This window comes from Homo sapiens, chromosome 9, assembly GCF_000001405.40.
Source record: "Homo sapiens chromosome 9, GRCh38.p14 Primary Assembly".
NCBI classification, from domain to species: domain Eukaryota; kingdom Metazoa; phylum Chordata; class Mammalia; order Primates; family Hominidae; genus Homo; species Homo sapiens.
In genome coordinates this window covers 12,747,096-12,769,729 of record NC_000009.12, presented here as the reverse complement: position 1 = coordinate 12,769,729, position 22,634 = coordinate 12,747,096, and the positions used below count along the sequence as shown (strand labels likewise).

The 22,634-nt window shown below is 35.4% G+C and overlaps 1 long non-coding RNA gene and 1 pseudogene across 1 annotated transcript in view; both read left to right on the top strand.

Moving 5' to 3' along the window:
• The window catches only part of LURAP1L-AS1 (LURAP1L antisense RNA 1), a 114,391-nt gene that overhangs the window by 44,660 nt on the left and 47,097 nt on the right, over positions 1 to 22,634 (top strand). Inside the window, exon 3 of the long non-coding RNA NR_125775.1 lies at positions 10,106 to 10,178. This is a non-coding gene — a long non-coding RNA (LURAP1L antisense RNA 1). The remainder of the gene's footprint in view (positions 1 to 10,105; positions 10,179 to 22,634) is intronic.
• RN7SL849P (RNA, 7SL, cytoplasmic 849, pseudogene) lies at positions 4,675 to 4,969 on the top strand (annotated as a pseudogene).

The window sequence follows — 22,634 nt, the reverse complement described above, 5'->3', positions numbered from 1 at the left end:
TGGTGACAGAGCAAGACTCCATTAAAAACAACAACAACAACAAAAACAACAAAAACCAGCCAAGAACACTTAAAGTCACTGCAAAGAATAGACGCAAACTTACTTAATCACAAAAAAAGTATTAAAAACGACAGGCTACTTTACATCACTCCATACGATTACTTATAAATTAGGTAATAACCGCTGTTAGCCTTTTTTAAAAAGTGTGATTTTATGGGCTAGAAAACTAATGACAGATACATCCGTATTTTGCCATCCAGTGGCATAATCATAGACATAATTCTTACAACCCACCTTTGATATCTTTCACCAAATACATTGATGATGTTTAAAATTGTATTTGAGATGGCCCCCACAATTATAGTATAATCAGTAAAATAAAGATAAAAAGTCCTAAAGAAATACTCCATTTCTATGTCCTAGCTTAGAAGCAATCCTCTGAACTTTGATTTCAAAAGGATGTAACAGATTTTTTTGAAGTATTGTTATCGTAAATGTAACACAGAGGCTATGCAATTGAAACTGTAACCCTATTGAATGTAGAAAAAAAGCAGTGAGGACTACTCACACAGAGGATGGTGTCTAAGAGGTTTAGAGGGAGCTATGTTATTCCACTATGGTTTTGACCTCAGGATTCGGCACATGCTATAAAATTCCCTCTCGAATGTCATGATTTTGTGATCAGTATGCTTTTCTGACAGCGTCTTGTGAATATATCATTTCTTTTCTATATTTTAGGCTCCTAGCTTCTCCTTATCCTTGGTTCTATAGGCTTGGAAGGATGAGTAGAACTTCTTTTCAGAAGGCCTGGAAGAAAGAGAACGAGGAATAAAAATTTTTATGCATTTTTCCATTTTAAAAAGAACACAAAAATTCTATGCAAAGACATACATGAATTAGCTGACATTATTTGGTAGTTAAAACTCAAGAACCCTCCATATTAGAACTGTAGATCCTAGTCTTACAGCTTAAGAGCATTACTCTACATTTGAAAATTAGCCTTCTTAAGCTATTAACTAGCCTCGTTCTCTGCGTGTGTGTATGTATGTGATTTTCTTTCAGAAGTATGCATGATTCAATGAGAATACTTTGTGATCATGAGACATATTGAGTATATGCATCTTATATAAAAGATAAATACTGTAATTAGGTCCTGAAAATATTAAGAAAGATAGTTACTGGTCATATTCACTTGATAAATCAACAGGGGCCTTTTTTATAATCAGAAAACACTTGCACATCAGAGTAGCATAAATCACTATGATAAAATAATGTGGGAGAAACTGAAAAAGTACTGGCTACAAGGGAAGCTGCTATGTATTGAGCACAATTTTATGAAAGGTTGTATTGAGCACTATTTTGTACTGCTTAATTCTCATAAGAACCCAGGAAAATGAATGTGATGAAACTCTCTAATAAGATGCCTCTGAAGTTCCAAGAGGTGAAATCACTCATACAATCTTCCACTGGTGTCAAGTGAGAAAGCTGAGATTTGTTCTAAATTATATTTTATTCTTTGCTGGGCATGCTGGCTCACACCTGTAATCCCAGCATTTTGGGAGGCTGAGGCCGAAGAATCATTTGAGCCCACGAGTTTGAGACCAGCCTAGGCAACATAGTGAGAACCCTCATCTCTACAAAATAAAATAAAATAAATATATTTTATTTGTAAACCCACATTTTTTCTATTACCCACAAATCGGCATTAGTCCTCTTTCAAAACTATTAAGAGTTCTACTTCTGAACATAGATAGTCACATTTCGCTTAACGGCAGGAATATATTCTGACAAATGCATCATCAGGTGATTTAGTTGCTGTGCAAACATCATAGAGTGTACTTATGCATACATAGATTGGATAGCCTACTGCACACTTAGGGTATGTGAGATGGCCTATTGCTCCTAGGCTACAAAACTGTACATCAAGTTCCTATACTGAATACTGTCAGCAACTGTAAAACAATGTATCTAAACATATCTAAATATATGTTTGTATATTTACAGCCAAGAACAGCCAAGAACACTTAAAGTCACTGCAAAGAATAAATACAAACTTACTTAATCACAAAAAAAGTATTAAAAATGACAGGCTACTTTACATCACTGCATACAATTACAACATAAAACATACAGATACGTACAACATAAAGATATGTTTGTATCTAAACATATCTAAATATAGAAAAAGTAATGCATTGTGCCACTTCATTAGGATAGCTACAATGTTACTAGGATAAGAATTTTTCACCTTCCATTATATATATATATTTTTTTTCAGACGGAGTTTCGTTCTTGTTGCCCACGCTGGAGTGCAATGGTGCGATCTCGGCTCACCACAACCTCTGCCTCCTGGGTTCAAGCGATTCTCCTGCCTCAGCCTCCCCAGTAGCTGGGATTACAGGCATGCACCACCAAGCCTGGCTAATTTTGTATTTCTAGTAGAGATAGGGCTTCTCCATGTTGATCAGGCTGGTCTGAAACTCCTTGGGTGATCTGCCTGCCTCGGCCTCCCAAAGTGCTGGGATTACAGGCATGAGCCACCGTGCCTGGCCCTTCCATTATAATTTTATGGGCCCAGCATACTATATATGGTTTGTTCTTGAATGAAATGTTATGCAGCACATGATTGCATTGTTGAGAGGACAAAATCGTGTTACTACTGATGATGATTTTGGATAACTCATATTCCAAGTGTGGTAGAGGTCAAAGATAGATGAAAAAAAGGAAAAAAAGAAAAAAGGAGATACATGTTTTCTTGGAAAATTCATTTACAATTACTCATTAGAGGACATTAGTATGTTCTAGAAGGCTATTCCCATTCTCCGTCTCTGATTTTTTATGAACTATCACACCTTCCTCTAAAACAGGACCTATATTTGAGACTGATTCTGCCATTTGGTGGAGCCCAGACTGAAAAGATGTGGGAATTCATTCTTTGGTTCACAAGGTCATGGCTCCAAAATAAAGGTGAAGATGGGAAGGCAACACATGCATGAAAGGGTGCTGTATGAAAGTTTGTGCAAAAAGCAGCTGGAAAGAGGGGTTTATGACCTTTTGATCACAGAGACTGCTCCTTGTCAGTCTCATGTGGCAAATGCCAAGGGCTTGGCAAATTCACAGGGGAGGGCTGGAGTCCCAGACACCCTGCCATTCCGGAAGACAAAAGGCAGCTGAAAGTGCAATTGCTCAACTCCTTCTGTCTTTGGTGATTTTCCTATACTCAACCATGTGCTGTAGCTGATTTTGCAGTGGCTGACCCTCAATTCTATAATAAACTTTGGCTTTGGTTGTTCAAATACTTCAAAGCTTGTTTTAAGAACATGCTAAGTTCTATTTAAATTTCATTATGCTCTAGTAGAGAGCACTTCATATTTGTTTTGAGTTTATGAGTAAAGACTGGATCTTAAAGGGTCAGTTCAGAAGATATGGCAATAAGTATCTAAGGTGCTGTAGCAAAAGATATGGTCTCAAAAAGAGAGAGGGAGGGAATAAAAGGGGAGGGAGTGGGGAAGAGACGGTGGGGGGCAGACAGAGAGAGAGAGAAAGAGAGAGAGAGAGACTTTCTGATAGAGGTAAACATCTGTCAGTTTTATGCATACAGAAATGATCACTCTGTTACAATGGTAACCCATCTCATTTGACAGCTGTGTATAAATTGGAGCAGAAACACACATCTGTCTCTCTTTAAGTTTTGGTTTTGTGCTAGAGATGATTTAGGAGAATAATAGAATGCTGAAAAGACAAATGTGTATTATTTGTAAATAGATTGTTATAACTCCTTTGCGATAAAGGAAAGTCTTTATTGTTTAATGCTTATATGTGACTTTTTAACAGGTGTGGTTTTTTTTTCTAACCTTGAAGAAGTAAATTAACTAGTGTATTTTTGAAGGGGAATCCTGAGTGTTTAACAAGTAAAAATATCATTACCCAACAACTCTGTATTATAATTATAAAGAGTTTTCTATATACCCTTTGTTAATATTAAATGTATACTAAATATAAAATACCTAACTCTATAAAGTACCCATAATATGGTCATTCTCTGGGTACTTCAAGACAAATCTGCTTTATATCTCTCCCATAGTTAATTGAGCTACCTGTTCTGGCACATTATTTGATTTCGGAATAACTTAAATAGAGAACAAAGGGTAACTCTAGGAATTGTGCAAGATGATTGCCAAATGCATAGTATAACTATGTGGACTAAAATAATCAAAAGTAGAGTACATGTTACTTTTATTAAATAATGAAAACTCTGTATTTTTAATAAATAATCTAGCAATATTATCTCCCCCACAGTATTACCATTGCACTTTGTTTTTGTTAACTTTCCCCTTCAATTGCAAATATGGTAACTAGAAAGAAATTCAATTCATGAATATTCAGGAACTCTTTGCCTGGTTTGTGTCATGCCATCTTAGTTAGCAAATCACTGGCTGGAGGGAGAATGAGATAGAAGATAGTATCATGGGAAGGGCCAAAACCAAAACTATAGAGTAGGGACTTGATTGGGAGTCCTGTGTAGAAGGAGATAGAGTTCTTGTGTATGTATGTCTGGGTGTGTGAGTAGGAGAGGAGCTTGAGATGTAATGAGCCATGGAATACAACTGCAGGTACTATACAATTTTGTCTGTGGCCAACCTTAAATGTACACATCTTACAGATTGAAAGTTTGCAAAGGCAGGTGTCTGCCTATAGTCCAAACTACTGGGGAGGCTGAGGTAGGAGGATTGTTTGAGTCCAGGAGTTCTGAGCTGTAGTATGCTATGCTGATCTGGTGTCTGCACTAAGTTTGGCATCAATAATGTGACCTTCTAGGAGCAGAAAACCACCAGGTTGCCCAAAGGGCGGTACACTGGACCAGGTGGGAAATGGAAGAGGTCGAACCTCCTGTGCTAAGTAGTGGGATCACGCCTCCTGTGAATAGCAGGACACTTCAGCATAGGCAACATAGCAAGTCCTTGTCTCTGAAAAAAATGCCCTTGTCTCTAAAAAAAAAAAAAAAAAAAAAGTCTCTTGGTTACCAAATCTGTAAATCTCCGACTATATGAAGGATACCTCAATTCACAAGAAAACTGCATTAAGTCCTAACTCAATGAGCTTGCATCATTTACTAATATTCATTTTCTAAGCATAATGTGAGTATCTTATATTGAGTTATTTTTGGTTCTTGTATGAGAACTGTGGTAATCTATAGAAGATCAAGCACAGAGTTTATTCATTTCTTCAGCATACTATCAACTCCAGACAGATTCCACAGGCATTTGGGTCAGAGATGCCTTAAAAGAATAGTTTAGTTGATGTATAACCTGGCATTACATCATTCTGAATTGTGTATGAATAGGGATTAAAAAAAGATTTGCTAGTTTGCTAAAATATAACCTCTGTTTTATAGAACTGAAGTTTCCTGGTGTAATATAATACCTTTGCTTTGTATTATAGCACCGTTCCTAATTATGTAAGTGTACTTTGTTTAAAGTAGTGTATAAAGGCCAAGGCATATTTGACTAAGAAGGCTTGCATTGTACATTATTTAAGAAATATTTTTAAATAGTGACAGAGATATGAAAAAAGAAGGCCCTGAAAAGAACTAGATGAAGTCATATTTTACACTTGCAATCAATTCTCATAGGTCCAACACCAAGGCTCTTTTCTCCCTTTTTCTTCTGCTTCCCATGAATTTTCCTGTAAAATTTGTATCCAATTTCATTCCCAGTTATATTTTATTTTGTCCTGCTTCTATTATAATGGCCAAGGAAAAATATATAGAAATCTGAAACTATAAGTATTAATTTAAATCATTATTTCCCTGTTTTCTTTTACCATTGCTCTTTTCAAACTTTTCCATTATTTGCCTCTTCGTTCTTTCTCATTTTTATCCCATTTCCCCTTCTTTATTTACCCATCCTTGCTGCATTCCCTCTCTTCCTTTCTTCCTTTCTTGCCCTTTTCTCTCTTATCCCTTTCTTTATTCTTATATTTAACAACTTCAAGTAGAAAAGAGTGATGTCCTCATCATGCTGGTCAATGCAGATTTAATTCTATTTCCTTATAATAATGTCAACTAGTGCATATTGAGTACTTACTCTGTATCTCATATCTTCACAACACCACCAGGAGGTAGGTTGTCTTATGTCTCCATATTATAATTAGTGGCTTAGCTCACCAGTAAATATCCCATTGCTACACAGCTAGAAGTTGTGGTTTATCTGAGGATAAACACCCCTCTGTCTGAATCCAGAGTTCATGTGCTTAATAATTATTAAATGCTTTCTCCCCTTTCTAGTCAAAATCCCCAGTGATCAAGTCTCTATGTGGTCTAGTTCTTTGTAGATCGGTGCTTTCAGAGGGCCATATAGCCTTGTCACCAGCACCACTGCCTCTCTCTTCTACCTACTCAGGGTCTCTGTTTTTGCACCTGTTCAGGTCCCTTTGCTGAAGCCTGTAAAACAAATTTGATAAGTGAGTAGGGGTGTCTTGTTTTTATTTTATAATTAAGAAAATAAAAGTGTTTGCTTGACAGAAGAAAACTCAACCAGTCCTAGGATTTGTTTTTTCAGAAAATAATTTCTTTGTTTTCCATAGTTTTGCTATCTTCTATTGCTTTCAAAGTAGATGTGGGAGAGTAATATTCCTCTGTAAGTTACTAGGAAAAGCAGATAATCCAACTCTATATAGATCATACCTCTGCCTCTGATCTCTAAATTTGACTTACATAAGATTTGACAATTTCCAAGAATTCTAATAATCACCATTTTATTTTATCCTCATAATGTGATAATAATAGCAGAAACTAATGTGATCTTTTAATATTTTAAGAAACATAAATACTCAGGCCGGGTGCGGTGGCTTACGCCTGTAATCCCAGCACTTTGGGAGGCCAAGGCAGGCGGATCATGAGGTCAGGAGATCAAGACCATCCTGGCTAACACGGTGAAACCCCGTCTCTACTAAAAATACAAAAAAACTAGCCGGGTGTGGTGGCATGTGCCTGTGGTCCCAGCTACTCAAGAGGCTGAGGCAGAAGAATGGCGTGAACCCAGGAGGCAGAGGTGGCAGTGAGCGGAGATTGCGCCACTGTACTCCAGCCTGGGCAACAGAGCAAGATTCTGTCTCAAAAAAAAAAAAAAAAAAAAAAAAAAATTAAAAAAAAAAGAAACATAAATACTCAGAGATGTTAAGTGACTTAAAGAAAATAATAATTCAAGCCCTAAACACCTTCTCCATTGCTCTGAACAGAACTTGTGGCTTTGTAATTTTGTCTCTAATATGGGGTCCTTTCTACTACCTCATGTGACTCCCAATTCCCTGGCTTTTCATTCTGTCTATCCCTTTATTTTTAAAATCCACAGTACATCCCTTTGAATTATGCACCACTCTATAAAATCACCATATCCAAAATTAAATTTATAACTTTCCTCAAACCAACTATTTTTCATACTTCCTTATTTTAATGTATGGGCCCCACAATTTGTGAGTTCCACCTCTCCCACCATCTAGAGATTTGCTAATATTTAGGATGTCTCTATCTCTTTTACTATTACATTCAGTTAATCATCAAACCCCACTGATTTTCTTTCAGTAATTTTTTTTCTATTTTGGCAATCCTGCTGTAGTTCTAGTTTATCACTCCATGATCACATTTTGATCTGAATGTAGTTTTCTCACCTAACTTGCAAGATGCTCTTTCTAAGTAATTTAAAACAAATACAAATACTTTTCATCATCTTAAGAATCTGTAATGGCTTTGTTGCCTCTAGCTCCAATTTTGAATTATTTATTCTAATTTTCACAGTATGGCTTCCACAGCATAAAGCATGTCTCATCTGTTCAACATAATGTCCATAATAAAATAAATTTTTTGTTCCAGTTGGAATGGCCTCCACATAACATCACAAACACATACATACTCACACACTGTCAATATCAACCACCTGTCCTTTGTTGATAATGTTCCTCTTGCCTAGAATTCGCACCTTGTCTTATATTCCAGTCCATTTGTTAATACCCAGATTCATTTCTCCCTTCCTTCAATTCTCTCTCCCTTTCTACTCTTCTTCCTTTGTCAAAAATTGACATATCTAATATGTGTCAGGCATCATGTTAGGACAAAAACAAGAGATAAAACATGAAAATGACATAATTATCACGCTGCTGGATCTCACAGTAAAGTGAATTCAGTGGTACCAGCTGTTGTCTTTGTGGTTGCTTTGTTCTGCTTTGTTCTGTGAATTCATACTTCATTAACAATTGTCATCATTTTTATGATAATCTGGAAAAAATGAGTAGTACCTTCATTGTGCAAAACAAAGCATCTGGCTTTGAAGATATGAGAAGGAATAATATATGGACCTTGAGCAAGAGACTTATAAACTAATCGGAGAAGTAGGTTGTATATTTTTTTTTAATTAAAAAGGCAAAGATATATACTAATTGATAAAGATGTGATTTAAATAGACAGTGCCTAAGAGAGGAATCTATAAGCTAGAAAATTCAAAAAAAGGCTTCACAGGGTAAACTTTAGTTGTTTTTTGGGGAAAAATGTGGATAACAATAGTGGATAGATAGAGCAAGATGTTTCATAAAATTTGATTCTTTATTATCTTCTAGTGCATTTTAATTCTTTATGTCTGTAAATTCTGTCTCACCAAATTCCTGTAGGCTCCTCCAGGATGATGTGTGTCATATGTTTGTTTTGATCTCTTACCATATCTAGAACTGATATGGGCAATAAAGGATTGTCAGTTGATTGTGTATTCACAGGAAATTTACAGGCAATAATATTGTGAACTTAAGTGTATCACCACCGAGTTACTCATTCTTTTTACCAGTCACCCAAGTTGTGCAATTCTGATTTTGTATTAGAAAACCAATACTTAAATAGATTAAATAATCTATCAAGGATTTTTCATTATAGTTACAAGAATCCTCAGTGTGAGCTGAGATCATAACATTCACACCTTCTCGTTTTTCATTAAGCACCTTTGGAGGTGTTTGTGAGAGAAGATTACGATTTGCTTTTTAAATACAACTATCATCCTTCAAAAATGTTCACTGATTTTTTTACCTTCTTATACTGTACGCATAGATTTAGTGGAAGCTGCCAGCAATAACACTATTCTTAGTTGTACTGTTTGCCCTCATTAAATATTTCTTAGGCAAAGGTGTTTCCTAAACATTTTCTGAACCATGCTCATGAATGCAGTAAAAGGCATACAAAGGTGTAAATTAGGAAGATTTAAGTTGGGTTTTAGAGTACCTGCTCTACAATCTAGGTTCTCCTGAGGGTTTGGCACATGTTGCTTAACTGCTGGATCAAATTTTCATTTTCTATGTTAGAAAGCTAATACTATCTATATCACAGGATTGTTAGGAGGGACGAATTAATTTTACCTAACCTTGTTTAAGAAAGATGACCTCTTCTTTCATATCAATGTTTTGTCTATAACAGACAAGATGACAGCAAATAAAACCTACCCTATACCCCTCCAAAATTAGGATTTCTACAATAATTAATCTTAAAAAGGGTGACCTGCACAAGCTTAATATTATGGTTTTACCATACCATACAGGGAAAGTGAGAAGACCTTCTAGACTCTTTTCGAGTGAGGTTTGTGAAGTGACTCAGCCCTGAGCATTATTTGTTTGCTCTGGCTTTATTTTCATGTGGTGAGAAGCACACAGAATGAGTGGAACTTCTTTAAATGGACAAGGCACACATCTTGAAGCTCACAGTCCTGCTAACATAAAGTTAGCAAAACAAGCACTTAAAATTGCAGATAGCTGCCAAAGGTTCCCAGAAACCATGGCATGGACTCTGTTGTTGCAATAATCCAGTCATTGTTTGTGTTTTGTTTGGTATCAGTCACATGAAACACTATCTACTATACCATGGGTTTCTTTGTGTGTGTGTGTGTGTGTTTGTGTCTATAAGTCAGAGAGAGATGGTGGTGTATTAAGTATTGTATTCCTGCCATTTGTGACACATTGCCTCATAGAGATTCTGTCCAATTTCACTGCCACAACACAGGGAAGTAGAACAAAGGGGGATCGAACATGAAAGTTTTCTACTATTATGTTATATTCACATCTTTTTTTGTTTCAGGCAAGATGGAGAGTATTTGAGCGGTCAAATAGAGGATATGAGAAGAAAAAAAGAATAACTTCTATGTGGAAAAGTAAGCAGATGACTATCATTTCTTTTGTCTGTTGTCAGTGCTATAAATCTCTGCTCTTTGGACTATCAATAATTTCATCTAATGTTAATTTCTTTACTAAAAAAATACTTACCGAGCATTGACCTAAATAGGAATAAGTAGAAAGTTGGCATCCAGCTATGTTTTCAAAGAAAAAGATTGCTAATTCCAGAAGATGACGCACGATACGGAGAAGCATGTAAAATTAGTGTGCTGTTGGCCTCTACACTGAGAAGAGCACTGGTTCTAAGATGTTATTCTCTATTTACTTTCAGAATTTCGGTTACGGAGTATCATCCTCTTTATTTAGGGCTGGAAGAGATGTTTATTGAATTTTTCATACTACTTAAATCTGAACTAGCTCGCAAACGGTGTTGATAAAATCAAACATGCTATTAGCCTTGATGTCTATACAGGTGGGCATGCATGAAATCTTTATAGACTTCATTTCAGATATGATGCTGTTCCTTATATAATTATTACTACCTTTTGATATTTTCCTAGGTGCCAGACACTTTACATACCTTATCTCGGCTAGTTGTCAAACTCTTGTAATCCTGTTTAGCAGATGAGGACTATACATCCTAAAGAGATAAAGTAACTTGCTTAAGGTGCCTAGAGTACACCCAGTTCTTTTGACTCTAAAATCTTTTCCAATATGACACCAGCATTTCCCAAAATTCCTGTTTTATTGGTATATCATTATGGGTTAAACAGAAAGTTTGATTTCATATATATGTATATATGTTATATATGTGTGTGCATATATGTTCATAATATATACATGTTTATATATTACTTCCACTTATATACGTGTAGTGCCTTGAGAGCTTGCATCACAATTTACCCTCTTGCCCCAAAGAATACAATGCAAAACAAAAAAAACAAAACAAAACTCTGTGTGTGTGTGTGTTTGCGTGTGTGCGTGTGGTGTGTGCATGCCTGTGTTTATGAGAGAGAGAGAAAGAGAGAGAAATTGTCCTCAGAACTCTCCTTTGCTAATCCTTGTAGTACAAGTAAAGGAAAAATAAAGAAGTCAAGGAAATAGCAGGTTTTAACCAATGAAGTTTGGGGTAAATGAAGAGTTTAGTGCCTAATTCAGTGAAGGTATTTGGACTTTATGACATGAATGAGTCTACCATGTACTGCTCACAGAGACAGGGAAAACAATTCAGCAAAGTGTTTCAGTGACTGTTGCAATAAGGATCAACATTTGTGTATTTTATGACAGAAATTATATGCTACAGTGATATTCATGAATTTGGGGATTTATGAGAGCTCCAGAATATATCCCTCCCAATGGACAAGAGTCTACCAGAATGTTTCCCAAAATATGTTATGAAGTATACTGGTTCAGAATGTTAAGGGCATTATGTGAAATGGAGAGTTCAGTGGTCTAATCAATTTGGGGAAAGTTTTACCAAAAAAGTTAGATTTCTTTACTGTAGAGCAAATCAAAGCCTTTTATAGGGTCAAGTGCATTTTAAATCTCCAAGAGGTTATATAGTTTACAGCTCTTCCTAAACTTATATAGCCACGAAATCCCTTTTTCTTAGAAATTTTTGTGAGGTTATTGTTCTATATAAAATATGTTGTATAATAATTTTCTACAGTTTAAGTAAAAACACATAACACTAATATGTAGTTAGTTATAATAGCTATTGGGGATGAAATGGATTTTTCTCTGTACTTTTAAGACTATTCATGACTGAGGAATAGAAAGTGTTTGGTGAATCACTACAGATCATTATTATACAGTATTATTACTGTGCACTGCATGTGATGAGTTTTTATGCAGTTTAGTAAGTAAATCAGAGATGCATTTAGATAATATAATAATTTCCTGTTACTCATTTCTCCATCTGATTTTATAAGTATTTTAAACCTTAGAATATGGTGGACAACAAAACATACAAATTATCTTTCTCATACAATCACACAAAATCTAACCCCCACAGAATCAAACGAAACAACATATTCTCACTTTCGATCCTTTACATTAGAAGAAGAGATGCTTTTTTATTTTAGGGGTGCCTCTACCTCATACTTATCCCTCTTTTTGTAAGTCAGTATACTAGAAAATCCAAATAGAGGACTCATTCTCTAACAAAGAAGAAACCTGTTTTGTCAAGCTTATTTCAAAATGCAAATGCTCCCTGAAGAGGGTGACTTTAGCAGTTGAGTATGCTTTCATTTGTCCTAAATTAATTTCTTGTCTTATAGAAGAGAACTGGAAAGCCTAGGGATTCTGGCTAGTTAAATAGTTTGAGCAAAGTGCTGAGAGGACAGAAAAAGGTGCTGCAAGTGGAATGTGAGTATAGCAGGCAACTGAAGACAAATCTCCCACTGAAGCATCCAATTTAGGACCAGTTCTGATATTCAGATGATGGGTTTTTAGGTATAGTGTGCATGAAAAATAACATAGTTCATGGCTATGAAAAAGGTGAGAGATTAGCCAATGGGATGTCCACTTACATTTCCTCTGATGAACTGGATTTCGGAAAGTGAGAATAAGGCATTGTCAGGCAAAAGTCACTAGAAGTCTCCAGTCTGTTCTATTGGAGATGTTGGAGAGTTTCATCATGAGGAAAGGAAAAGAGTTTCATCATGAGGAACGGAAAAGGGAGCTGACTAGGGAAGCACCCAATACATCCCTAAGAGGCCTTGAGGGTAGATGTATTAGCTGGTGTATATATATATATATATATATATATATATATATATATATATATATATATATATATAAATATATGGGAGTTTACTAAGTAGTATTAACTCATGTGATCACAAGGCCCCACAATAGGCCGTCTGAAAGCTGAGGACCAAGGAAGCCAGTCTGAGTCCAAAGGTGAAGAACTTGGAGTCCAATGTTCAAGGGCAGGAAGCATCCAGCTCGGGAGAAAGATGTAAGCTGGGAGGCTATGCCGGTCTAAGCTTTTCACATTTTTCTGCCTGCTTTATATACTGGCTACGCCTGCAGCTGATTAGATGGTGCCCATCCAGACTGAGGGTGGGTCTTCCTTTCTCAGCCCACTGACTCAAATGTTAATCTCCTTTGGCAACACCTTCGCAGACACACCCAGGATCAATACTTTGCATCCTTCAATCCAATCAAGTTGACACTCGGTATTAACCACCATAGTGGAATTTAGTGGGAAATCATGAAGCACAGATATAAAACTTTGGTGACTTCCTAACAGCCTCAGTAGAACTGAAGTTGAAGTGAAGAGCAAGGATGGTTAGGTTGATGTTTTGTTACTTTGGTAGGATTCAAAAGAAAAATAAACAAAGAAATTGGAAGTATTGCCGAAAGTTAGGTCGAAAGGGTAGGCTATAGGTCCCAGTTTGGAAAGAGGACACTGAATATAGTTAAAGTTACAGAACCCATATTATGAAATTCTCAGGGATTCCAAAAAAAAAATGAAAACCTAGGAAAGTAACTTGTCCAAAGCTACATGAATAGATGGAAGCAGGAAAATAAATGAAGACTCCTTGTTTGTGTTCATGCTTCCATTCTATGTTGTCTCTGGACAGGAAGTTCTTAATATTCTTTGGATGTCTGTTATATGAACTTGATAATTCTAGGGAACCCTCATTAACAAAAAAATTAAAAATGGTACAACATGAACAGTTTTTTAAAAATTAATTTTATTTTAAGTTCCAGAATACATGTGCAGAACATGCAGGTTTGTTACATAGATATATGTGTGTCATGGTGATTTGCTGCACCTATCAACCCGTTATCAAACTTTTTAAAATTGTACAAAAATGGGCCTAAAATTTCCATAGATTTATAACTGCCAAAGCTTATCAGTGACTACTCTAGTTTTTTAAGGACCCAGGCTAAAAAAAAGAGGTTCAGAATAGACAAATGCCATGGAAAATGTAATTTGTTGATTTCATTTCTAATTGTTGAAGAGTGCTTAGCTAGTATTCTTTCAGACACACAATAAAGACTGTATGTAATACGTTTAACTTTCTTATAAAAACATTCAATAAAATGTTTCCACAAAATCTGAAAAAGTCATTTGAGCCTATAGGGAGAGAGGTTTAACACTTCTCCCAAAATTCTGCTATGGGGTTTGTTGAATATTTTCTCCTGTTTTTGGAACAAATTTGAGATTCTTTTATAAACTTTGAATTGTATATAATGTTTTACTTCAGATGTCATGAATTGAGCTTCATATGATCTACATAATTCATTAGTTATGTCTTTGCTTGTGTATAAGTAGCTGTTACAAAGAGGGAATACTGTCTAGATACACAACCCTTGTGCTTTGTGATAAACAGACTAAAGTTAATCTGTTATCCCCAATCCTAAACTGCCAGTGCTGATATTATACTCATCCAGCTGAGTAAATATGTGTATTCTAATCCATATTAGGCACATGAGTTGACTTTAAATGCTGTTAAAATTTAGGTGAATATGATTTTCAGAAACATAAATCTAGTCCCTAAAATATATAAAGTAATCATAATCTTGATAATGAGCTCAGTCTTCTCCCCTCCTTCCAATACAAATATGTATGTTAAATCCAAATAGTTAAACATAGATTCAAATAAGTAGAGTTAGGAATCCTATTTGTTAAATAAATGTTGAGATACATTTTATCAAAATAATAAAAAATATATATTTATTTTGTATTTATGCAACTCGAGCAGTTTCATATTTGGAATTAATGTCATGTCAAAACAAAATATATGAAAACCTGCAAGGAACAACGAAACTTTACACTTTCAAATTGCTTTTGATATGATACTCTGCAGCTCAAGATAAGATAGAGCAAGCATATTTAACTTCTTCTTCCCCACTGCATACAACTGAAAACCTAAACAGAATGCTTCTGAGAACTCAGACCCAGGTGGTAATAGGCAGATTAGGAAAGAAAATAATACACCGTATAAATGATCTCATGGTTAGTTCGTTATTTTGTCTTGTTTGCTTAATTTTGTTTTTCAATATTTCTTGTTTGAACTTTAAACGAAGCCCAAATCGGGAACTATGTACTAGGTAAAAGCCCTAAATGTTCCAAAGAAACCTCTTTGTATTGTCTAAGAAATGAAAAAAGGAGCTCCTAAGGACAGAGAGACTGGGGAATAAAACATTGTGTTTTTGGTTTCATTTCATTTTGTTCTTTTCTTTTTATACCACCCCTGCCTCCAAACAAGCACCAGTTGCTGAGCTCTGATTTTTGCACCATTTGGGGTTGTATGGGGCAATGATGGTGTCAGCTGTGAGCAAATGCGTAAAGCTCTAAGGGAGGGGGATTCTACTCTCTGACCAGAGGACCTATGATCCAAAAAGAACGCGGAGAAACTGTTACTTTTTCCCCCTCTTTATCCTCTTGCCATTTGGCCCTGCAGGCCAGTTGAGTCATGGGAAGTGTTCAGTAGAGCAGAACAGTGAAAGCCCAGGCTGTCTAGCCAGAAGCCCAGAAAAGAGGGCCCCTGAGTGCTGGGGAGTGCTGGAGAGATCCAGAAGAGAAGCAGCTTGAGGAAACAATCTCATGAAATGTGTATGAATTCCTGGGCTCATCCAAGAGCCAGGGTAGGTCTGATGCTAAACAGTGTATCAAAAGCTTTGACAACTGAACTTTGGGGTAGACTACAGTCTAAGTCCCAGACTGGTCACTGGGTGGCAGGCACACAAGAAAGATGTAAATTGTATTGCAAACACTTTGGATAGTGAACTAACATTGGAATCATAGTCCACGGAATGTGAATCAAAAATATGTGGAGAATCTAATCAGCCTGCTAAAACAACAACAACAAATCAATTATCTCTGTTAGATTTAAACAGGTTACATAGGTTTAAAATATAAAAGGATGCTGAGCGCCTTAGCTCATGCCTGCAATCCCAGCACTCTGGGAGACCAAGATGGGTGGATCGCTTGAGCCTAGGAATTAGAAACCAGTCTGGACAACATGGCGAGACCCCATCTCCACACAAAATACAAAAATTAGTCAGGCATGGTGGTGTGTGCCTGTAGTTCCAACTACTTGGGAAGCTGAGGTGGCGGGATCACCTGAACATGAGAGAGCAAAGCTAGAATGAGCCGAGATCATGTCACTGCACTCCAGCCTGGGTAACAGAATAAGAAGCTGTCTCAAAAAAACAAATAAAATAAAAGGTTGAAGAGAGATATGCAACTCAAACTCTAATCAAAAGAAAGCTGGAAGAGCATATTCATATAAGAAAAGGTAGGCTTCAGGGCAAGGAAAATTTTCAAGAATAAAAAAGGGCATTACATAACAATAAAAGTTAATTCACAAAAAACACCTAATGATTTTGAATGTGTATGTTCTTAATAACAAAACTTCAAAGCACATGAAGCAAAAACTGAGAACTGAAACAAGAAATAAGCAAATCTACAATTATGGCTGTGAAGACTTCAATACTTTTCTCTTAGTAATTGATGAAACATGCTGACAGAAGGAAAGCCAGTATAAAGAACTGAATAAAACCAGCAGCCAGTTGGATGTAATGACATTAATAGGACGCTCTGCCAAACAACTGTAGATTTTAATTTCCTGTTGAGTGACCATGAAACGCTAACCAAGATAGGCCAGGTCTGGGTCAAAAAATAAAACCTAACAAATGTTTAAAAATTGAATTCATATGAAATATAGTCTCTGACACTAATATAATTAAACTGGAAATCAATAACAAAAAGCTATCTGCAAAATTCTCAAATAGGTGTAAGTTAAAATATTCTTCTAAATAATCCATGAGATCTAAGAGACAGCCTCAAAGAAAATTAGGAAATATTTTGACCTGAACTAAAATGTAAATATAACATATAAAATTGTATGTAATGGAGCTAAAACAGCATTCAGAGGGACATTTATAGCATTAAATGATTACATTAGAAAAGAAGAAAAGTCTTAAATCAACAAGGTAAGTATCTACTTAAGAAACTAGCAGATGAAAAGCAACACTAACCCAAAAAAATCAGAAAAAAACATAAGGTCCAAAATCAATTAAATAGAAAAAATAACAAAATAGAGACAAAAATCAATGAAATCAAAAGCTTTTTTTCTAGAAGAGACTAATAAAGTTGATAAACATACAGCTGGAATGACCAGGTAAAAAAAGAGAAAAGACAAAATTATTACTATCAGCAGTGAAAGATGATGTATCACTACAGACATTAAAAGGCTGATAAAGGAAAACCAAGAAGAACTCTAAGTATATAAATTCAACAACATAAATTTGGTCATTTTCTTGAAAGCCACAAGATACCAAACTCACTCTCACTTTATAGATCTATGCCTATTATAGAAGTTGAATTAATAGTTTAACATCTTCCAAAACAGAGATCTCTAATCCCAAATGATTTCACTGGTGAATTGTATTGAATATTTTAAAAGAAGAAATCACACCAATTCTATATAATATCTTCCAGGAAATTAAAGAAAGAGTACTTCCAAATTTATTTTATGAGGGCAGAATTACCTTTATGTAAAAAGGCAGTACAGGGAAAGAAATCTAGAGACCAGTTTCCCTCATGGACATAGACACAAAAATCCTCAACAAAATATTAGCAAATCAAATCTAGACTTATATAAAAAGAACAATACATAACAACCAAGTGAAATTTATCTTGAGATGCAAGATAGTTCAGCATTTAAAAAACAGGCTGAGCATGGTGGCTCATGCCTGCAATCCCAGCACTTTGGGAGGCTGAGGCTGGAGCCTCCCTTGAGCCCAGGAGTTCGACACCAGCCTGGGGAACATAGCGAGACCTTGTCTCTACTTAAACAAATAAGCCTTAAAAAACTATTCATAAAAGTTGTCATCATAATGGATTAAAAAGGTAAATCAGATGATTATAACTATTCATGCAGAAATAGTACTTAATAAAATGTATTATGTATTTATGGTAAAATCTCTGAAGAAACCAGGAAAATGAAGAGGACTTTCTTAAACTGATAAATAGCATCTACCTTTAATCAACATTATACTTAATGATGAAAGGCCAAACTCTTTACTCCTAAGACTGTGAACAAGGAAGGATATCCACTCTCTTCATGTTTATTCAACCAGAAGTCTTGGACAGTACAATATGGCAAGAAAAAATCAGAAATTTACACATAAGAAAGGGAAAAATGAAATTATTCCTATTTTCAGATGACATGATGGTCTCCCTAGAAAATCCAAAGGAATCTACACAAAAACTTTTAGAACTAATAAGTGAGTCTAAAAAGTTCCTGTTATACAAGGTCAGTATATAAAAATCAATCATATTTCTTTTTACTTGCAATAAACAATGAACAGCTGCAATAAAATATCTTTTATGGTAGCACCAAATAGTGAAATACTTAAGTATAAATCTAATAGAATGTACAGGATCTGTACACAAAAAAGTACAAAATTCTGACTTAAAAAAAGAAACAAAAAACACCTGAATAGATGGAGAGATATACAGGTCTCATGGATTGGAATACTCAACACAGTTAAGCTACCAATTCTTCCCGGGTAGATTTATAGATTAGTTGCAATTCAAATCAAAATACCAAAATAATTTTTTGCATATTTAAATAACTGATTCTAAAATTTATAAGGAAAGGCAAAAAGAATTAGAATGGCCAAAACCATTTTGTAAAAGAAAAACAAAGTTAGAGAATCCAAACTATCTTATTTTAAAACTTACTATAAAGCTACAGTAATAAAAATAGTGTGACATTAGGAAAGAGATAGACATATAAATCAATGAATAGATTAGAGTCCAAAAATATACCCAATATGGGCAATTGATTTTTGACAAAGGCATGAAGGCAATTCAATGGAAAAATGGATAGTCTTGTCAACAAATAGTATGGAACAATTGGACATCCTATACAAAAAAAAAAAAAAAAGGAAGCATAACCTCTGTCTCACACTTTATGCAAAAATTAACTCAAAATGGTTTAGAGAGCTAACTTTAAAATGTAACTTCAAAACGTTTAGAAGAAAACATAGCAGAAAATCTTTGTGACCTCGAGTTAAGTAATTTTCTTAGATATAATGCCAAACCATGATCTAGAAAAAGAAAACATATCTTGGCAAACTGGACTTTATCAGTAGTAAAAACTTTTGCTCTACAAAAGTGCTGCAAAGAGAGTGAAAAGATAACTACAGACTGGAAAAAATAATTGTAAATCATATACTTGACAAAGGACTTCTATTTAAACTATACATTTTAAAACATCTCAAAACTCAAAATAAGAAAACAAACAGCTCAGTTCAACAATGGGCCAGAAATCTGAATGGACACTTCACTAAAGAAGATATATAGATGAAAAGTAAGCACAAGGAATACAAAATAAATAAACAAAAAATAAATAAACCACCACACAGTTACTACAATATGTATTCCCCTAACAACACCCACTCAAGTTCTTCACTCAACTTTAGTAAAGAGATAAGAACCCTAATGGCCTTAGTGATATGCTTGCCTAATGGTATGCAGTGAGACTGAGGTTCTGGAACTCAGGCTATGTCTTAAGAAGCCTTATAACATCTTTCTGGGCCTTTTAGAATACTCTCTCTTGAAATGTCTGTTCTGAGCGTAGCCAGCTGCTATATAAGAAGTAAGGCTACCTTGGGCCCACCATGTGTGGCTAGAGAGCCATGTTGGCCAGCCCCCAGAAGTTACAGCTATCCCAGCTCAGGGAATGAACCTGTGAGTGAGGGAGTCGTTTTGGATATTTTCAACCCCAAAAGACTCCACATGGAGAAAAATAGAGATTCAAGACCTATGTCCACAATTGAGCCATTCTAGTAATCTCTAGTTGTTCTAACCACCTGGCTGAAGTCCCAGATATTATGGGTATCAATTAGTCTATTACTTATTTGACAGATACAGAAACTGAGATTCCTCCCCTTTTATTTTTTAAACTAACACTTACTGAGTAATAATTACATGTCAGGTACTATACTAAGTATTTTGAATTCATTATCTCTGCTAATCCACATAACCCTGTGAAGTAGTTACTATCATCATTGCATTATTGTCATTTTATCGATGAGGAAACTAACACAGAATACATGTTTTCCCCAAGATTATTTACTTGGTAGACTAAATTGCTTTTGTGAAACACACTATTTCAACTTCCTTCTCTGCATGAGGATTATGTATCCTGCCCTGATGAACTCAGAGGTGGCTATCAGAAATGTGAATAGAAGTGACATGCAGCATTCCCAGGAAGAAGCTTCAAGAGTTAACAGTGTGGTTCTCCATGTCTCTTTTTCCTTTGTCTTGATGACTGGCAATATTTTAAATACAGGCTTCTTCACTAGCCTGATTCCCAGAGTGATGGCAACAAGAAATAGGGTTGCAGCTGACTTATGATTAGTCTTGTTGTGGGAGTGAGACCACTGTGATTTTTCAGCTTCTCTGTTATTGCAACATCACCCCAACTGTCCTCACTGATACTTTCACACAGCTGATAAATAGCAAAATTGGGACTCCATCTACTTATTTGTATGTTTTATCTTCAGAATCTCAAATAGTATACCAGGAGAAAACAACATTTGGAAAAGAATAGGCTACATTTAACACAGTTCTTTGAGAATATGTACTTGAAATGTGTTTCTACAATCATTAGTTCGATATCCATGTATAAGGAAACTTGAGAATATGCACTAGGTACATTTACAAATGTCTTTTTAAAATTCTTTTAAGGGAGATGTTTTTCCCCAGTTTATGGTATAAAAAGATGCCTAAAATTCCCAGACTAAGTGATCAATCTGTGCGATCTTGTAAATATAAATATACTAATTGATAAGGTAGAAGAGACTTGAAATTTAAACTACCTCAGAAAATTCAAATTCTTTCATTCAGCAAATCTACTCTTGTTGTGGTTGTCATAATTTACAGGGGTGCAAAGAAAGATAGAATAGATTTATGCTTTTCAGGCTTATGTTAAGGAGGCTATGTGTGGGGAGGAGAGAGAAACGTAGGAAGAATAATTCGAGGAATATGGATAAATATATCTAATGCCAAGAAGCCATAGGGGAAGCTAGGGGGGACTATTTAACACTGATGGGGGATTGAGAAAGGTTTCCTTTGGTGTAAAAGGAATTGCTCTGAAATCAGGATAGAGGCATTACGGGCAAAGATAAGAGCATGTACAAATATCTGGAGGTGAGAGAAACCTGCTTTTCTGGGAATAAGTTCTTCAGAATTGTTGAGGGCAGAGTAACTTTCAGGGAGTGGTAAGAATTGAGCCATAAACTACAGCTAGTAAGCAGCACTAAAGAAAGTATCATGTGAATTAACACTAAATCATAATTTTCCTGGATCTCTGACTCATCAGAGTGTATAATGCTGTTGTATTCTGTGTAATAAACATCCTTTGTCCATTATAGGGAAATGACAACATAGGCCAGATTCAACTGGTCAATTATGACTCGCTTCTGCTGGAGAGGATAAGGCAGGTTTTATAGAACTGACTAACTAAAAAACTGCTCATTTTACAATTCTCTTAAAAATAAATAAGGATATAAAATATGCAAATGAATAAAAGGTATTTTTAAGTAGTACAATTCAAGGTAAGCAATACATAGTGGAAAGGTAGTTGCTCGCTTGAAAAGGAGAAGTCTTTTCAACAAATGATACTGCATAACTGGATATTCATATTACAGAAAAGAATCTTGACTTTCGCTTCATACACAAAAATTAATTCAAAATGAACTATATATATATGATTCTATAGCTAAAATTATAGAGCTTTTAGAGGAAAACTTGGAGGGATTTTTTTGATTCGGTGGTAATCAAAGATTACTTGTATCATCAAAAGCAATAACCATAAAGAGCTAAAGAAATCAGTCACATAAGTGTACAAATTGTATGAATTCAATTACATGAAGTTCTAGAATGGAAAAAATCTGAATGGTGGTTGCCTCTGGGAAGGTGAAAGTAGAGATTGAATGGGAGAGAGTATGAGGAATATTTCTGCAGTAATGTTAATAGTCTATATTTTGACAAAGATTTGAGTTACACAGATGTATACATTTGTCAGCATTCAGTGAATGTACACATAAGAATTTTATATTATGAAAATAATTTTTTCATCAAAAGAAAAAAGATGGACAGATATTCGTTTTATTTAATGTTATGCATGCTGAAGTCTCTAGTAGGAAGTATGCTGAAGTCCACAATTTACTTTAAAATGCATCAAAGAAGATGAATTACTGGATGGATGGAGGAATAAATAAATGGATATACACATAAAACACCTCCCGAAGAGGGCCGACTAGAAGCAGCGACGTTTGGAGGCTCCCATAGAAAAAAAAAAACGAAAAAACATAATAAGCATGTGAATCCTTCACCAGCAACCAAGGTATCCAGGTTCTCTCGTCAAAATTGACTAGAAGGCTGGCGTGACTCATGGAGAGAAGGCCCACCTGAGAGCCACACGGGGAAGGGAAACCCCCTTCCCCCAGCCAAGGGA